At 40.0% G+C, this 19,059-nt stretch overlaps 1 long non-coding RNA gene across 1 annotated transcript in view; it reads right to left on the bottom strand.

Moving 5' to 3' along the window:
* Nucleotides 1-19,059, bottom strand: part of LINC01456 (long intergenic non-protein coding RNA 1456) — a 134,472-nt gene that overhangs the window by 11,893 nt on the left and 103,520 nt on the right. Inside the window, exons 2-3 of the long non-coding RNA NR_133641.1 lie at nt 13,724-13,823; nt 426-536 (exon numbers count right to left, since the gene is read on the bottom strand). This is a non-coding gene — a long non-coding RNA (long intergenic non-protein coding RNA 1456). The remainder of the gene's footprint in view (nt 1-425; nt 537-13,723; nt 13,824-19,059) is intronic.

Genomic DNA, 19,059 nt, shown 5'->3' on the forward strand with positions numbered 1-19,059 from the left:
AGACCACATGGTTCAATGACTTTAAGACTTAAACTGGAAATCAGTCTTTCATTCAACACTAGCTCTGATTCTTCTTAGCTTAACCTCTGCACCTAGTTTCCTTCATCTGTAAAACGAGAGATGGTAATAGTATCTGCCTGATAGAATAGATGTGAAAGACCAGTAAGATTCACAAACGTAAGGTTCTCAGAATTGTCTGACACGTAACAAATTCTTCATAAGAATTTGTTCTGTTATTACTCAATAATATCTCCATGGCCTAATAATTTCCAGGGACTAACATAGTTCCTAACACATGGAAGGTGTTCAATAAATTGTTGCTAAATAAATGAAGAGAAATGTATTAGTAGCTCTAATAATATTCATCTGTTCTTCATCCTCTCAAAACAGAAAACATGAAAAAATGAGTTTCTCCTTTACTTTACCTTACAGTCTTTCCATATGTTGAAGCCTCATTCTTCAGTGATTAAAACCACTTTTCCTTGGCAAAGGCTGGAGGATCCTGAGGACCAGCTGTTTTCCACTTTTTCTGAGGCCCATTTTACCAAAAAAAAAAAAAAAAAAAGACATCTTAAAGATGTAGAAGACACAGCCTCAGGACCCTTTCAGTTACAACTGTCAAAAACCCAACTCAAATGGGAAGAAGCAAAGAGGTGAAAGTATAGAATCAATTAAAAACTACAAGGATGACTTCAGGCATGGCTAAATCCAGGAGTTCAAATGATGTCAGCAGGACTTGGTTTTGTTCCATCTCCTCGCTCTGCCTTCTTCAATGATGGTGCTATTCTTAAGCACATTCTCTCCTATAATAGCAAGATGGCTGCCAGCAGCTTCAGATTTATATCCTCACAACTCCAAAACCAGGGGAACTAAAACACTTATTTTTATGACAACTCCAGCCAAAGTCCCAGTTTGACTGGACCAACTTGGGTCAGGTGTTCATTCCTAAACCAATCACTGAATCACTATGGCTCTAGGAATGGAACACTTTGATTTTCTAGGCTTCATATGTGTGTCCTCCTCCTTGATTCCAACGGACAGAGTTAGCTCCAGACAAACTATATAGACTAAGACTGGGATGGTGTTACCAAAGGAAGGGAAGGTGGATTGAACAGCCACAATCGACAAACTTCCATGACAAACATCTACAAGGTAGGGATGGCTAGCAAGTGCATAGCTTGCTTCTTAAAGGGTTGTAGATATGCATCCCCATTTTACCTAAAGCTTTCTCATGATTCACACCCCCAACCCTCCCTCCAGCTATAAGGCAGTGATTTTCAAAACTTTCCACCTCCACCTCCAGCAAAAAAAATAAAATTCATATTAAAAACGAGTATCCATATGAACTGAACTGAAACAAATGCTTCATCAAACAATATTTATTTTTCACTACCTGCAATGCACTTTGATAGTTTTTGTTCTGTTCTATTCTACTCTAGTTTAATTGAATATATTCCATTATGTTCCCTCCCTTCCACCCCATTCCATTTTATTGTTGTAGTTATTAGTCAGGGCAATGCTTGCTAGCTGCTGAAACAAACAGCCCCTAAATCTCAGTGATTTAACAAAAGTGTATTTCTTGTTCATGTTGTAGCCTGATCCTTATTAGGAAGCTCTGCTCAATGGCCTTCTTCCTCCTCTAGGGCTCCAGGCTCTTTCTATATCATGGTGCCACCATCTTCAACACAGGATCATGGCATAAATGGGGACAGGGAGGATAGAGGGAAAGGGAGGAGATGGGAGGGGATGAAAGGAGAGGGAAACGGAGGGGAAGGGAGAGGATAGGAGAGAATCACTCGGGAGGATTTATAGTTAGGCTTGTAAGTGGCTTCTACCACTTTTGCCTGTACTCTGCTGGCCAGAAACTAGTCACGTGTCTCCAGCTGCAAGGGCCACAGGGAAACATGGTCTGAGCACCCAAAAAGAGGAAATGGGATTGATGGACATCAATCTATATTCACAGTCTATGTCACAGGATTTTATTCAAGTTTGTTGAGAAAAAGAACATGATGGTCCCACTACGTGGAATTCAGGACTCTCTAGTGGATGCAATTCCTTAGTTTGAAAAACCTTGCCCTACCAACCTGCCTTGGTTTTTCTACCTTGCAGACCAAGGCTTTTTTTGCTCCTGTCTTTCTATTCTCATCTGTCTGTCATGGCACGTGAATTCATCATCCCTGGTGAGGAGATCCTGACCACCTTCCCACACGCCTTCCTCAAACCTGTCTCTGACTCTGCCTGAGAACCCTGAATTCCTTGAGCCACTCTGTGGCTACTATGGCAGCCATGAGCCATGACTCCTATCTCCTGCCTCAAATTGTCCTTCTCCATCTCTCTTATCCTATCTGGCTACTCTCTTACCCTTGCCCAGCCCAGGGGACTATAGTGACAGAGATGGTAAATGAGACCAGGGTCCGTGGGGCAGCTAGCCACCCCTCCAACTCCAGGGCTCTGCCCTGGGCTGGCTCCAGCGTCTGTCTATGTCAGGACTGAAGTAATTGAGCCAGCCAGGCATGTAATAAGATAGCTCTTTTACCCCCTGCTACTATGGTGAGTGGCTGTGGAATCTGATTCTAGCAGCATCTTTATCTCCGCAATTAGGCTTCGGGGTTCATTATTTAAAAAGCACTGGCCAGTAGCACAGAGCAAGTCAGTTAGCTTAGAGGGGAACTGGCCCTTTAATCCAAGCCGTGAGGAGGCCAGGATCTTGGATTTCTCAGTTAAAAGACCTTCTGGTTCTGGAAGAACTGCAAGCTGACTGCTCTTCAGGTTGATAAACAATTTTAGTCCATACTTAAATGGTGATCACCATGTGCCACACACTGGTAGGAGTGCTTTATAATATTAATTCACTTAAGCCTCACAGAAACTCCATAGGTGAGGAAATTAAGGCCCCAAAACAGTAAAGATCTGCCCATGTCACACAACTAAACAAAAGCAGAGCCAGGATTGGCAGATCCAGGCTCCAGACACTACCCTTTTGACCACTAAGTTACTGTACCCATGAGAATAAATTGTATTTGTATATAATATTTATATGCTGCTTACAGTTTTTGAAATGCTTTTACATACTTTTCTGACCGTCACAAGAACCCTGTGATCCAGTTATGATTATTTTGATGAGAAAAAGATCCCATTTTAACATTGAGAAAATTGAGGCTCCAAGGAATTCAGTAAGATTCCCAAGTAGTAGCACTTTGGAGCCAGCTTACTCCAACTTCCTCAGGCTGATGGTTCAATCATCAGGAACTTTGTAAGCCAATTACAAACCATGGTTATTATTTAAAATTAAATTATATAAATTTATAACTTAAAAACTCTATTCAAAACAAAGGTAATAAATACCCAGAACTCATCACTTTCTAATTCTTTTCCTACATTTTACTATTATCAAGGCACTTGAGGCCATCTGTAACTCTATCGTATCTGTACGGTGGAAATAATGTTTCACGGGCACTTTAGTGACATCACATTGATAGATTGAAGTTAGCTACAGTGGTGGTATCTACACTTGGGAAATCAGCAAATTCTGTGGCTCTTCCTGCCCCATGAGAGCTTGTTGTTGATTATTTCCCAGCGCACCCCTGTTTCCGTGACTCTGGCCATCTCAGGTGTGTGCTCATGTGACTTGTTTTCCTGTCCTACTCAATGTTGTATTTCCAGGGCCTCATGTGATCTCCTTCCTCTCGCATTGCTCATAAACACCCCTGCCCAGCCTCCTGAGTCTCTCTACCCCATCTCTTTGACTTGCATTTCCCAGAAGGGCTTTCCCAAACAGCCCACAGTTGCCCTCACCTGGCCTGAGTCAGCTAACACCCAGCCAGCCCAACAGCCTTCATTCCTGCCAGGTCCAAGTTCTGCCCAAGTTTTGCCTTCCCCAAGCTAAAAGACCCACCCACCTGCTTATTTGCCCTCTTAGAGGCAGGAATCAACGAGGCCCGAAAATGTTCCTGCCCCAGACTTTGCTTCCACCGTCTGACCTAGCTAGGCTGGCAAGGGGATGGTTAGTTTATCCGTGTGTGTTCTTTGGGAGCTGTTGCAGATCAAACAGTGGTCCTTCCCTAGTCCTAATGCAGAACACCCCTAAGCATGCCATGTACTCCTAACCATGCCAAATGCTCCTGCTTGCAGCCTGGACACTGACTTATGGGCATCCAAGGGGGGGTGGCAGGTGGGGATTTTAGTGAACCATCTGACACCTAATAAGCACAAAATATATGCTTGTCTTTATTCTCTCTAAAACACAGCTAGATTTGTTTTTTTCAATTAAGGATTCCCTTCCATTCACTAGCTCCTTTTCAGCCTCATGGACTTCTGGGAATTCTGTAACATTAGCATAATATATGTAGGACTCATTACATGCCAGGCACTGTCCTAATCACTTGAACAATCCAAGGGGGTAGGCACTACTATCACCTCCATTTGAAAAATGAGGAACTGAGGCATAGAGAGCTTAAGTAATTTGTCCCAAGTCACACAGCTAGTAAGGGGGAAGCCAGATCTTGCCCAAGTGCTCTGGCTTCAAAGCCTGTGCTCTTTGTGGCTTTGCCGAAGTGATCTGAAATCTAACTGGTTCTCCCTCTGGGTTTCGACAGCTTTCTGTTTATACCTGGGTTAAGAACTTACCAAGTTGCAATATCATTATCTGGTTACAAGTTTGTCTACATTCCTCCCAGCTCCTCCCCTGAGTCCTTGGAGGACGAGAACGATGTCTTATTTTTATTTGTGCCCAGGGTCCAAGGTTGAGTCTGGCATGTGCTAAGTGGTAAACGTTAGTTAAAATGCATAGTCCTCCTCACTTTCCAGATGAGGAAACTGAGGCCCAGAGAGCTGACAGAGGACTGTCGAGAACCGAGGTGGCATGGCTTGAAGTCTGGTACTTGTTCTGCTCTGCCTCACTGCTCTTCTTGCTAACTTGGGAGTTGTGGGCCAGGTCATGGGGATCTAGAGCAGGCTGGCATTGCCTATCCACCATACTGCAACACTGGTCCATGGTTTCTCCCAGAAAGAACATGCATGTCCAAACCCACCCCCAGGAGAGACTGAGAAAAGCACCACTGTGCTGGTCACGCACTCACTTCTGGCACAGATGGGTACAGCTTGGGAAGCAGGTCAGGTTCTAGCCTCACCTGATGAGGCTGAAGATGAACAGATGCCCAGAGCATTGAGGGCTTAAAAATGAAATTCAAAGACTCCTCATCCACTTTTTATTTGCATCAAGATTATTCTAACCCAAATCCTATCAAAGAAAGCAGAAAGATCCTAAACCATGAATTCGCCCCTCCCACGCTTGCTACCCCCATTTTGTTAGTTTCTTAACGTGAACAGATTACCTTACTCTTGGGTTTCAACTAGCTGTTTTCATCCTTATCCTTAGTTGTAAAGAAAAAACTCCCATTTAACCTAAATGCAAATAGCCAGGAAAAGAAAAGGAGGGTCAGGTTCCATGTTATTTTATAAAGCATTACAAAATGACAAACAAGATAATACTGGGAATTTAAAAAAAATTCAATTAACTTCAAGAGCTATCACAAGGTTTGTGTAATTCATAGGAACAATGTAATGAAATGTTTATAGTGTCACTAGAGTCCTGGCAAAGATTGAAGTACCTGTGACAGATCAAAGAAAAAATAAAACATTATTCCATTTAGGTGCAGTGTTATGGATATCCTGGTACTATAGCTCTTTGGAAATGATTAACTCCATGTGGTATTGATGGTAATGATCCATTTTCTGGCATAATGAATTAGGCATTCCTCCATTGTTCCATAGCTTGGCTTCATTGTGTGTGTATATATCAATGGCAACTTTTTTTATATACCTTTCAGTTTCACACTCACAAAATAAAAACACACCCCCTAGGCTGCCAGAGAAGAAAACATGAGCCTCAGAGCTGATTTATTTTTATCACCCACATAACCCTATTTCCTACGTGAGACATGAAACCACATCAAAGAAGGAATAGTTTTTACTTCTCTGAGCTGGGAGGGAAATTGCTATTCTTCAAGCTGGGAGCTCAGAAACCTTTGTTGAAAAGTGTCCATTTTTATCTAACACGTTCTTCTTCTGAAAGGCCCTTGTTTTTAAGGAATAATTCTTCCAACAAAGACTCACCCATCAGGCATCCCACTCATGATTAGTTAATCTGTGAAAATGAGAAACAACCTCTAAGTGGTTGACATACTTTAGCAGCAAGAGATAATCACAGCCTCTAATTTCTGAAAAGCATAATTGTCTTGCGACCGTGGGCTTTTTAAATGGCAGGAACACCAAAAGAAATGAGGTAAAAAGATAGAAAAGTCAGCTATGTGATATTTTTATCAAATGCCATCGTACTGCCTCTCTCTTCGGTTTGTTTGTTTGTTCGTTTGTTTGTTTTTAATGAAGAGTGGCCTCTAAGACTAATCTGTTTAACATCATGGCGTTTCCTTGTACTACACTGAACCATCTCCATGGCATTTAAAAGTGAAATATTTGCTTCAGAAATAAAAAAAAAAAGATAGGCAATAAAATGTAGCTGTAAACAAGGCTTCATGGCTTTATTTTTCATAGATAAATACACAATAAGTTCAAAGTAGAAATGAATTCCTAAAGCAATACTCCACTAATCTGTATTCGGGGGTCTCGAGCGTATTATCTGTAATTTACAACCAATTTAAATGGCATTAACAGCCTTTCCCTTATGGGAATTTAAATTTGCATCCTACCATTGAATTAAACAGTGATTGCGTATTTTCTATAGGGGACGAAATGCTCTTTGATGCTTGTTTTGAATAATGAAGCATCTATTCATGCACAGGGTGTGATGTGCTCCTTTGTCCTCAATGTAATTGAAGCAAAATGTGAGTTAAAGGGATTTTTTCCTCCTAGCCAAAGGTTTGTTGATTGGTGCTTATTTTCATCTATTCAAAATTAAGAAAACAGTCATCTCTCACTACACGGGGAAATCATTTACCTAAAAAGGCCCTGAATGAAGGGAGGTCAAGTTTTGCCTTATTTGATCTTTTCAAAGATGAAGGAGGATGTCAGAAAATATTGCAAACTAACCTTTGGGGGAATGGTATTATGGAATTAATTTGCAGTTCTTCTCTAGGACCAGAACAAGAAAATTAGAAGTGGAGGATAGGGCAAAGGGAGAATATGGCCTGTTTCCAAAGTAAGAAACTTAAATAACCTTGCTCACCTACACCAAACTATACTGAAATAGAAAGGGCAGAGTCTTTGCAAATCACAGAATCTGAAGCCTTAGAAGTCCAGGGATGGCAAATTCATGCGGATTGCCCTCAGTTTCCACAGTGTGCCTATGCCAGACATCAGTAATCAGTGATAGCCCTCGTGGCCATTAAATGAAGATAGAACCTCATAATCAAGTGCTCTGGGCAGCCAATAGCAATTGATGTGTTGGCACTAGAGGTGAAACCTATTTGCCATTTTAGTTAATCCACCTATCTCACTTAATACATGGTTCCAGAAAGATGAAGTGGCCCTCCAAAAGTCTGAGAGGTGGCCACTGGCAAAGCTAGAACTAAGAATATACCACCACTGGTGCTCCATAGTGTGCTTTCCACCCACTACCACCAGCATGCACTCTGTGCCTGTCTTGTGCACACTTATATCCCCATAACAGAGCAACTAGTAGATGCTCAATAATTACCTTTTTCTGAGACAGAGTCTCACTCTGTTGCCCAGGCTGGAGTGCAGTGGTGCAATCACAGCTCACTGTAGTCTTGACCTCCAAGGCTCAAGCCAACCTCCCACCTCAGCCTCCAGAGCAGCTAGGACTATAGGCATGTGCCACCATGCCTGGCTTATGGTGGCACAGGCCTGTAGTAAAGGCGGGGTTTTGCCTTGTTGCTCAGGCTGAATAATTACCTTTTTTTAAGTGAATGAATGAATGAATGAGAGATATATACATTGTTAAACCTTTATCGTTATGGAAAAGAAGATCCTTCTTTGAAAAACAATAACTCCCCTGGCCTTGCTGGACCATAATTAGGCAAGATCCAAACAAAAATTTAACATCTGTTTACCTAAACCTTTATTTAGAGATAGGGAAAATCACAAGTGTCAATAACATCAACAAAAACAAAGCATTTAGAGAAGAAGTAGTTTTTCTTCTTAAAGCACTCTCATAATATCTATTAATACGCAACTGATACAAAATTGCAAATCATTATTCAGCAAAGAAGTTTCTGAAAAGCTCACCCTGCTGCATTCGAAGTAAAATCATATTGAAAAATGACATAACTCAGATTTTCCAATAGTTGAAATGGGGTTTTCTGTTTATTATTCTGTATTAATATTCTAGTTATTTCCCTTAAGGAAGTAAAACACTAAGTGTTCTTGACACTTGTCTATGGAGTATCAGAGTTCCTTGATATTAAATGTCGGCCCTTCTCCCTTACAATAGGACCCACCTGCAAGATTTAGAATGTTAGGAAATAGGAAAGCTCAACTGTCCCACATTCTTAACATAAGTGTATCCCAGTGATTCAACCAGGGTCAGTTTTGCTCCCCCATACACATTTGGCAATGTCTCAAGACATTTTGGTTGTCTCAATTGGGTGCTGCTGGCATCTATGGGTGGGAGCCAGGGATGCTGCTGAGCATTCTACAGTGTTCGGAACAATTCCACAACAAAGAGTCATCCAGCTCCAAAGGTCAATAGTGCCAAGGTTGAGTAACCCTGGTATCTCCCTTCCACCCAAAAGTGTTCATATCAGTTCAGCCCTATGTTGAATTAGAATGTGTCTCTCTGTGCCAAATAAAACATTTAACTGTGGTTGCCCAAATGTGTCTTTTTTTTTTTTTTTCACTAAGATGTCCAGTTTCCTTATGCAGAGGGAAAGGTAGCTACTGATATTCCTCTTGTTTGCTTTCGCACAGAGCCAAACTAAAGACTAGCTCAGGTAGCTCAATGCTGGATTTTTCCAGAGCATAGAGAAAGGTTTCAGGAGCTCCCCAGTGTCTCAGCTATGCTCACCTAGTGTACTGCACGTTGGCCTAATAAAAGCAGGCAGGGGCATGAACTGCCCACTACTGCATATATCTGAGGATGGCCTCCCTTTGAAGCTTTATGACCTAGTTGCTCAGAAAAAAGAGTGGAATGTGTGCGTGTTTGTTTCTTTGTGTTGTTGTTGTTGTTCTGCTAGTTCTAGCTTCACTGCTAATTTGCCTTATGATTCTAGAGATCATGAGCCTGTCACTTACATTTTTTTGCATTTCAACCTTTTTGTCTGTACGTAGCACTCCTGTCCTTCTGTTGAAAGATAAAAAGGGAACAGTAAGAGCCAAGATATTTAAAGTGCTACTTAGGGGGGTAGCATTTCTAACTCCACAGGGGAAGGGACTATGTCTTGTTTATCGTATAGCTTCAGAACCCAGCTGGTGGTTCCGTGCTTAGCACAAAGTAGATCATTAACAGATAAGTATTGTCAATACATTGGAAACTGTTTGACAGCCTCTAGAAAGCTGAACAGTGATCTATCAATTCCACTTCCAGGTATGTACGCAAGAGAAATGGAAGAGAAATGGGTGCACATATCCTGCAAAGGATGACTACAAAAAGGTTCATAGCAGCTTAATTAACAATAGCCAAAAACTACGAAGAAACTCACCTGTCTATTGACAGGAGAATGGATAAAGAGTGTTCATACAATGGAATGATGTAGTGCAATAAAAAAGATCCAACTATTTCACATAAAATGCTCAGTAAGTGTCTGGTAGTGAGGGATGCTCAGTAATGATAAAAAAAATGGTAATAATTATTGAGCATCCACCTTGTGCCAGGCACTTTTAGATGCTTTACACATACTGATTCATCTAATCCTAAGAACAACACCAGGGATAGTTTCTATTCCTGTTCTCATTTTACAGAAGAAAATAGTGAGGTACAGAGAGGATCAGTAAATTTTTGTTGAACTAAACTGAAGTAAAAATACATTCTGACATTTTTTAAGTACCATGTCTTGGTTCAGGCTGCTATAACAAAGTGCCATACAATGGGGGGCTTACAAACAACAGAAATTTATGTCTCCCAGTTCTGGAGGCTAGAAATCTGAGATCAGGGTGCCAGCATGATCAGGTTCTGGTGAGGGCTTTCTTCAGGGTTGCAGACCAGAAACTCCACCCTCATGACCAAATCACCTCCCAAAGGCCCCACCTCTTAATACCATCACGTTGGAGGTTAGAGTTTCACATGTGAATTTCGTGGAGGAGCACATTTAGTCTATTGCATACCGTATCAAAAGCAATATTGAGAAAATGAAAAGCAATGCCTTGTATTTAGTCTAGACAAATCATTTCTGTCCTATGTTTTGGTGCTTTATTCCAGGCCATTCCATCTTATTCTTTTAACCAATATTGTTTTTCACCAAAGCCTGTGTAGATGTTGTTCTTGTGGTTAAGGGTTGCTATTCAAAAAGCTCCAGCTAATGGAAACTTGGGGAGGCATTTTGTCTTTGATTTGCTTTGCCTGTCCGGCTACAGGAGGGCAGTCAGTGAATGAAAACTTGAGAGTGAAGTTTTAGGGCAAGCCAGAGGAGCTTGGAGACCTTAGCTTCACTGCTTGTTAAATAATATAGGCCACACCCCTCCAGAGCTGCCAGGGCTGGGGATACGGGGCGATGGAAAGGGCTACTCCTCCCATCCTGCAGTTTCAAGAACTCCACAGTTAATATGGTGTTCATGTTTTACAGTGGGTCCATGGAAATATTGTTAAGGTGGTCTTATGCTTTGTAGTGACCCAAGTGTTTATCTTGTTTGCTGTGATCGTGTTGAGGAAATTGATAGTTGGAGGGGAAGGTGTCACTAGAGTGACGAGCAACTGTGGTCGTGTCTCAATTGTTCGCATCCAATGCTTCTGCACATTATTTTGGACTCACAAAAATTTCTCCATTAGGAAAGGAAATAAGTACAGGTGATGTAGGAATACTCACCTCCATGTCATATTGAAAAAAGGGTTCATTGGTAATGACAAATTTGTGTATGTCTGTGTGTGTGAGAGAGAGAGAATTGGAAAGAGAGAGAGAGAAAGATAGAAAGCGAGAGAGCATGGAGAGTTGCAATCACATCCTAGCAGCAAGTTTATTTATGGTTTGCTCAAGGTTTATTCCCCCACCCCCATCCCTGCATCCCCAGTGGAAGGATTCTGAGAGGACAGAGATGGGACTATTAAATCCCCTCATCTGCACCTCATCTCAGCTCTCAGCAGCAGCTGGTGCCTCCCCTCTGTGGATGTCGTTACCTGGGTAGCCGAGAGTTCTGGCAGAGGTGATGGATAGAGTGAGCCCTGCTTTCTTGGAGGCTATTCTGGACACCAGTTTAGAGTAGCTCAAAAATTCAGTAAGTTCAATGCTTTTAGCTGGACTTAACTGACTGTGTTTTGTGGGGCCTAAAAAAGTGTCCCCAAAATTCTGAAAAGGATCCATTTGAGAGCAGAAGGTAATGACTTGGTCTTGAAATTCTGAGGACATTGAGTAGAAATTCCCTTTCTCTAAGAAACACTTCTAAGACTTTTTAAGTTAAAGAATGTTTTTCATATGCATACGAATTAATTTTTTTTAGTAATTGACCCTTTTAAATTATACAAGTAATAGAGGGTCACTGTAAAACTTATAAAATTGAGAAGTAAAAAGAATAAGTTAAAATAACACTCAAAGAACCAAAATTTGGTATATAACCTTTCAGTTTTCCATGTGTATATGTGTGTATTTCAATAATTATTTTTCTTAAATGGAATACTAATGCACTTAGTGATTTGTAAACTTTTTTAAATTAAATAGTATCACTTGAATACATTTCCAAGTTAATAAATAACCTTCTACACTGTTATTTAATACAGTTGCCTAGTATTCCATTGTGTAGTGTACTAGAATTTATTTAACCAATCCGCTTTTGTGAGCATGTTTCTGAAACTGGATGTTTCCAGTTTTCCACTCTCGTAAATAAAACTGTGGTAAAATATTTATTTACAATCACTTATGTGCTCTTATAATTAATCGCTAGAATTGTAATTGATGGGCCAAGAGGCATTTTTAAGGCTTTTGATATGTATTGCTGAATTGCCTTCAGAAAGCCAACATGGGCCCACTCATTCACCAGGAGTGTATGAGAAGAGCCTGTATCCCAAGCACAGAGGGGTTTGTTTAAACAACATTTTAAAAGCCTGCAATTAACTTCCTTTCTATCACTTTTGCCTCATCTTATAATGTCCATGGTTTCTCTCTGTTCTCTACCCACTGCTCTGGTACTCTTAGAAAGCCAAGATAGAGGGTAGAACCCATTAGGGGAACTGGTTTTGGCAAACTCTCAAGGAATTTCAGTTTCATGCTGGAATGAGATGACACAAAGAGCTGCCCATTCATTCTGTGCAAGAGGATATTTACGTTATGTTTTATAACAGTCATAAATGAAAATGGCATTAATCTGCCAAGTTGATGTTTTTAAAAGAGAAAAAGGGAGGAGGTGGTTGACCTACCAGAGAAAGCCCTGTGTCTGCCAGAGCTTTGCTGTGCATATGATTCTAAATAGCAGGGCAAAGGTGATAGAGCCAGCTCAACATTTCTGTCTCTATGGCAACAGCATCCCTTCTTTGAGCCTCTGACACAGCAGCAGGGACCAAAATACACTCCTTGCGCACAGTTACACTGCAACTTAGGAGTTTCTTTTTATTCCTTGTAAATGCACAATTTAAAAATATGAGCAAGGACAGAGAAAGAGCAAATCATGCACAGCTAGAGAAGAGTCTTTTAAATGACTAAGCAAAGAAAATGAACATCCAAAGGGTTTCATGAAGTCTGCAGCCTACATTCACCATGTACAGAGAGGCTGAAAACCTTTCTCCTATGTAAGTAGAAAAAAAAGCTATGCATACATATAAGTGTGTGCATTAACATTTTCAAGTGTCCTTTCCCTAAATTTTTAATACAGGTCAGTCTTGCTATCAGCATATCCACTTAGCTCAGGTTATGATTTAATCAATTTAAGCAGCTATCCAGTTTACATAGCTGGAAGCTCCTCATATGCTAAACCCAACAAAACTTCAAAAAAACTCCATTAGCCTTGAGTGTGGAGGGCGTAATTGGCCCCCTTTAAGGTCAGCTCAAACCTACAAGTGGACACTAATGCATACTTGAATCCTGTTGAGGTCTATCTAGTCTTCTATTTATTTTGAAAAGATCTTGACAATAAAGAAATGCAGACTTGTGATTATAAACTGTTGGATTATTTCCGAGCTGATGCCGGGTGATTAGTATTCAAGAAACCTGAAGTGATCATTTAACTGTTAAAGTTAACACTTAGTTCTTAAGAATGTGTCTCAATAAATGTCAAGGGAATAGATGAATGACAGAAATACCAAGGAAATATAAGATAGACATTTGATAGTTTCCCTATGTGTGTACTTCCACTGAGTGTGCCAAGACCATCTGGTTCAGTGGGTCTCAAACAGGGGCAATCTTGCCTCCCCAGGGAACACTTGACAGTGTACGAAGTATTTTTGGTTGTCACAACTTTGGGGAGGAGAGCTACGCATCTCCTCCTGCGATGCACAGGACAGCTGCATAGCAAATAATGATCTGGCCCCAAATGTCAATAGTACTGAGGTTAAGAAATCCTGCTACAGTCTGATTGTCCATTTGGCTACTTTTGGCCCAGAGGGTTCTGTGGGTAGATTAAATGGTTATAATTTCTGGCTTGTGTATAAAGGTAAAATTCTACTTACCTTACCTGAGCATTAGAATTTTCTTCACTGGTTTTATTGTTACATGATTCCCCCCTTGCTTTAAGCACAGTATGTTCTATTTTATTTTAGGTTAGGACTCCTGAAAGTAAAAACCAATAAACAGAAAATGAGAGGTGGAGCATTAAAAAAAAAAAAGCTCAGGATGCATTCCTTCAAAGAGAGCACCTGCAAGGTGGCTAGCACAGAGGGATGCTCAAAAAACAGTAGCTATTGTTATTTTTCCCTATACTTTTTAACACAAAAACACCATATATAAGATAATGTATTGTGTGCTCACTGCTGAAATAATAATAATAATAATAAACATTTAAGTACTCATTGCCCAACAGCTTTGAAACTTCATTATCCTGCTTTTGTTAATAACTTTCTTGATATTGATATAGATATAGATATATAAATACGCAAATTATTTGGCTTTCCTTGTTCTTGAACTTCATATAAATAACATCATACTGTATGCTAATCTCTATGAATTGTTTATATCACTCAGTAGTATGGTGGGTTTTGGGGGTTTTTTGTTTTTTGGTTTTTGTTTTCTTTTTTTTTTTTTGAGATGATATCTCACTCTCTCACCCAGGCTGGAGAATAGTGGCATGATCTCAGCTCACTGCAACCTCCGCCTCCTGGGTTCAAGCCATTCTCATGCCTCAGCCTCCCAAGTAGCTGAGACCACAGGTGCACCACCACCACACCCAGCTAATTTTTGTATTTTTTTAGTAGAGACAGGGTTTTGTCATGTTGGCCAAGCTGGTCTCCAACTCCTGACCTCAAGCCATCCGCCCACTTCAGCCTCCCAAAGTGCTGGGATTACAAATGTGAGTTACCGCACGCACCCAGCCAATAATATGGTTTTTTTTTTAATGTTCCTCATGTTCATGTGTATAGCTGTAGTTTATTCACTTTAGCTACTAGATGGTATTCTATTGTATGACTATGTCACAATTTATCCATTTTACTGGTGCTGCACATTTGGCTTTGTGGTATTGGTCTATTACAAATTAGGTTGCTATGTATGTTGTTGTACATTTCTCCCAGGGCACATGCACAACGGTTTCTTTAGAGTGTATGCTTGAAGTTAAATTATCAGGCTAAAGGTTTCTGCATTTTAACTTTATTAGGTAATGCCAAATTCTTTTCCAAAGTTTTGTTGTACCAATTTGCACACTTATGAAAAATATGTACTAGTTAGCATTGCTCCAACATATGGAAATAATCAACAACTAATACAGTCATTTTTGAATTTTTCTGTTTTGGTGGGCATGAAATGATATCCACTGTGGTATTAGAAATTAATTAATTAATGGAGTTGAGCAGCATTTCAACTGTTTATAAGTCTTTTGTGTTTCCCTTGTGAAATATTTGTTAATGCCTTTTGTATAATTTCCTATTGGGCTGACATATATTGTAGCAGGCTGACTTCTAAGATGACCTCCAGTGATTCCCACTTCCTAATATTCACGCTCTTGTGTTATCCCCTTCCCTTTAATGTGGACTGGACCTAGTGATGTGCTTCTAACCAATAGAGTATGGCAAAAGTGATGGGATTACTTCCGAGATTAGCATAGGGACTAAACAAGGGAACAGGAAGGAGACCACAGACACAGATACATGCATATTGCAAATTAAGAAGATAAAATGAACTATTCAATATATGATACTGAGGTAATAGTCTGTCTCTAGGGGAAAGAATGGAAACGAATCCCCACCTCACCATACACTATCCAAAATGAACCTCTACATTATTATACACAGTTATATAATAAGTCATGGTATTTGGGCGAGCCAATTCCTCCACTTGGTTTCTCTTCTTTAGGAGCATCTTAGATAGGCTGCAGCATTATTCTTCATGTATATTTTGGAAGCAGTATGCCAAGATCCATCTTGTTGAAATTGTATTCAATTGTATTCAGTTTATAGTTCAATCTGGGGAAGAGTAGACTATTTATCCTATTAAATCCTCCTACCTGTGAACATAGTATGTTCATAGACTTGACTGATTTAGTTTTTCTTTACCATCTTTCAATAGTTTTACAATTTTTTTCATAGAATTATTGTACATGTTAGATTTATTCCTAGGTACCTTATATAGTTTTGTTACCATTATAATTGGTATCTTTTAAAAATTTCTTGCAATTGACTTTCATGTATTCATGGAAGCTCCAAAATTATAATTATAACCAAGAAAAAAACTGATAGATTTTTGCCTAAGTTTCCAGGAATGCATTTGAGGAACTAAATGAAACAAAACTGTAATTAAGTTATAGTCATATTTTAATAATAATTTATATATTCCTATCCCCAGAGTTAATTTAGATATTTTTATATCAAAATGTACAATTAAGAAAAGACATTCTTTTCATTAGTTCTTTATATTTGTCTAATTATTTGAACTTTCTTGTTGTTGCGCTTACATTTACTTCGGTCTGACCAAATTTCCCACCAATGTGAGGAGTTATGATTATTTAATGGCTACTCCAGATGGCATTTTCAGAAGAAAATTTTGTTCTTATTACTTCATTTTTTTCAATTTTCATCAGCTGTTAACATCTCCAAAATTTCATCACAGACATTCTTCAGCGACTCTGCTTTATTACGGGATTACCGGGTTTTATTGATAAATATAAGGAACTGTACAAGGAAAATCATTATATATACATTAAAACAATGTAAAGGTAGGGTTTAAACTACCCACCTAACTTCTCTCCTCCTTAACACCTCTTAACATGTGCAGAAAGATTTAAGAAATATGAGTACTCTGTGCACATGTACACTCATACTTTTTCATCACTTAGTGATTGACTTCAACTGCTGATGTCTATATATAATAAATGAAGATAAATTTATCTTCAAGTAATACTCTTGAGAAGTGTTCATTTCTTTATTTCAAGGCAGAACCATGATGAAAAGATGTCTTTTGGAAGCCTTATCCATTCCAGATGAGGCTGAGGCATGCTCAGCTTGGGGGTGGGTTTCTAAAGAAACAGGAGGTGAGAGGCTAGGTTGAAGTTGGAAATTTTCACCTTAGGGGAACTAAAGACAGCAAGGTGAGGAAAGTTGAATTTTGAGGTCCAAGAAGCAGGGAAGGGAGACCAGAAGATTGTTCAAACTAGAGGAGCCCATTTGGGTCTCAGAGTTGGAGAACAAGGCTAGAGATTCATGGCTGGGGGAACAAGAGCCCAAGTGTCTGCAAGGTACCATCAAGACATGCACTAAACCCCAAACCAAGCTCTTTTGCATGGCTGCTAGAGAAGTCCAGGTCCTATTGGCTGAATACTCCAGGGCATTCAGTGAGCTGAGAATGACCCTCAGACATGAAATCTGAAACACAAAGAGGGCCTCAGTCATTCATGCTGCTGGGGCCCTGGCTGCCCCACCTTCCATGACTCCACCCCTTTCTCACCCTGCCCTGTGATGTGCAGCCCCAGCTTCCTGACCTTGCTGGGTCTGTTTCCAGCCCTTACCACTCATCAGTACTGTTTGCTCCTTAGTCAGATGGGCTGAGGTGCTTTGTATTCTTCTTCCTGTCCATATACGATTCCCTTATATCTATTCCCTGTACCCTCTTGAAGCATCACCTACTAACCATAATAGTTAAGGGAAGCTATGGTGCTATTACAAAGAGCCTCCAAAAATTCAGTGGCTTAAAGAATCAAAGACGTTTTTTTTTCTCTTAGTATTGGTCTAAAGTAAGGGTTCTATATTCATAGGCAGCACTGCCTCATGGAGTCATTCAAGGACCCAGGTTCCTTCCACTTTGTAGCTCCCCAAAACCTTAGGGTAAGAATTCTTAACCTAGGGTTCATGGATAGAACTCAAGAGGTTCATGAACACTGATGGAAAAAAAAATCACCATTATTTTAACTAACCTTATATGCATTTCCCATTGCTGCTGTGACGAATGGCCACAAACTTAATGGCTTTAAATAACACAGATCTATTCCCTTATAGTTTTGGAGGTCGGAAGTCTTAAATCAGTTTCACTGGGATAAAGTCAAGGTATTGGCAAGGCTGTGTTCCTTCTGGAAGCTCTGGCAGTTAATCAATTTCCCTGCCTTTTCCTCCTTCTGGAGTCTTCCTTGCATTCCTTGGCTTGTGACCCTTCTTCCATCTTCAAAACTGGCAACATAGCATCCATCATTACATTGCCTTATCCTCATCTATTATCCAATCTCCCTCTGTCTTCCTCTTATAAGGACACTTGTGATAACATTTAGGCCCCACCTGAATAATCCAGGATAATTTTCCCATCTCAAAATCCTTAACTTAATCACCTCTGCTGTAAAGTCCCTTTTGCCATGTAAGGTAACAGTCACAGGTTCTGGGATTCACACATGGATGTCTTTGGGGGCTATTATTCAGCCTACCACAAATCTCTAATTGAAATTTAGCATTTCCTTACATTAGAAATGTAGACAACAACCTATAGTAGGAGTACCTGGAACTTTGTCACCAATAGAAATCACAGACAATAAATGTTCATTTGAATTGAAAAAAAAAGAGAAATCACAGATATTTTCCATATTATATTACAGTTTTTGCAGATATCTCAAATTTATGTAAGTCATTATACCTACCACCAGATCTTGTTAATGCATTACTAAAACTGTACATATAGTGCTGTTTCAAAGATTTGTGGTTTATTTGTTTTTGTTTTCATTTTTGAGACAGGGTCTCACTCTGTTGCCCAGGCTGGAGTGCAGTAGCACAATCTCAGCTCACTGGAACCTCCACCTCCTGAGTTTAAGTGATTCTCCCACCTCAGCCTCCCAAGTAGCTGGGATTACTGGTGCATGCCACCACACCCAGCTAATTTTTTGTATTTTTAGTACAGACGGGATTTCACCATGTTGGCCAGGCTAGTCTCAAACTCCTGACCTCAAGTGATCTGCCTGTCTTGGCCTCCCAAACTGCTGGGATTACAGGTGTCAGCCACTGCACCAGGCCAATACAAATGGTTTTTAAAAATAATCTTATATATTTTACTGTATGCATTCGAAACTTAAATCTGAGACTCTTTAGCTTCATCAAACTGGCATAAAACCTCTGCCCTAAAGCACTGTCTCCATCAGCATGGTTGATCCGAGGTTGAAGCCTTATCTGGCTCTGGCCTGAAGGAAGCAGGACAAGAGCATGGAAGAGGCCTACTCAATGTCTTTAGGCCTAGGCATGGAAGGACCACACATTATTTCTATTCACGTTTTATTTTCAGGAACCTCAACATGCATCAGAATACCCTGCAGGTCTTGTTAAAATGCATACTGTGAGCTCTGCCCCCAGAGTTTCTGATTCACTGAATATGGGAATTTGTATATCTA

The sequence above is a fragment of the Homo sapiens genome, chromosome X (assembly GCF_000001405.40).
Source record: "Homo sapiens chromosome X, GRCh38.p14 Primary Assembly".
Classification (NCBI taxonomy): domain Eukaryota; kingdom Metazoa; phylum Chordata; class Mammalia; order Primates; family Hominidae; genus Homo; species Homo sapiens.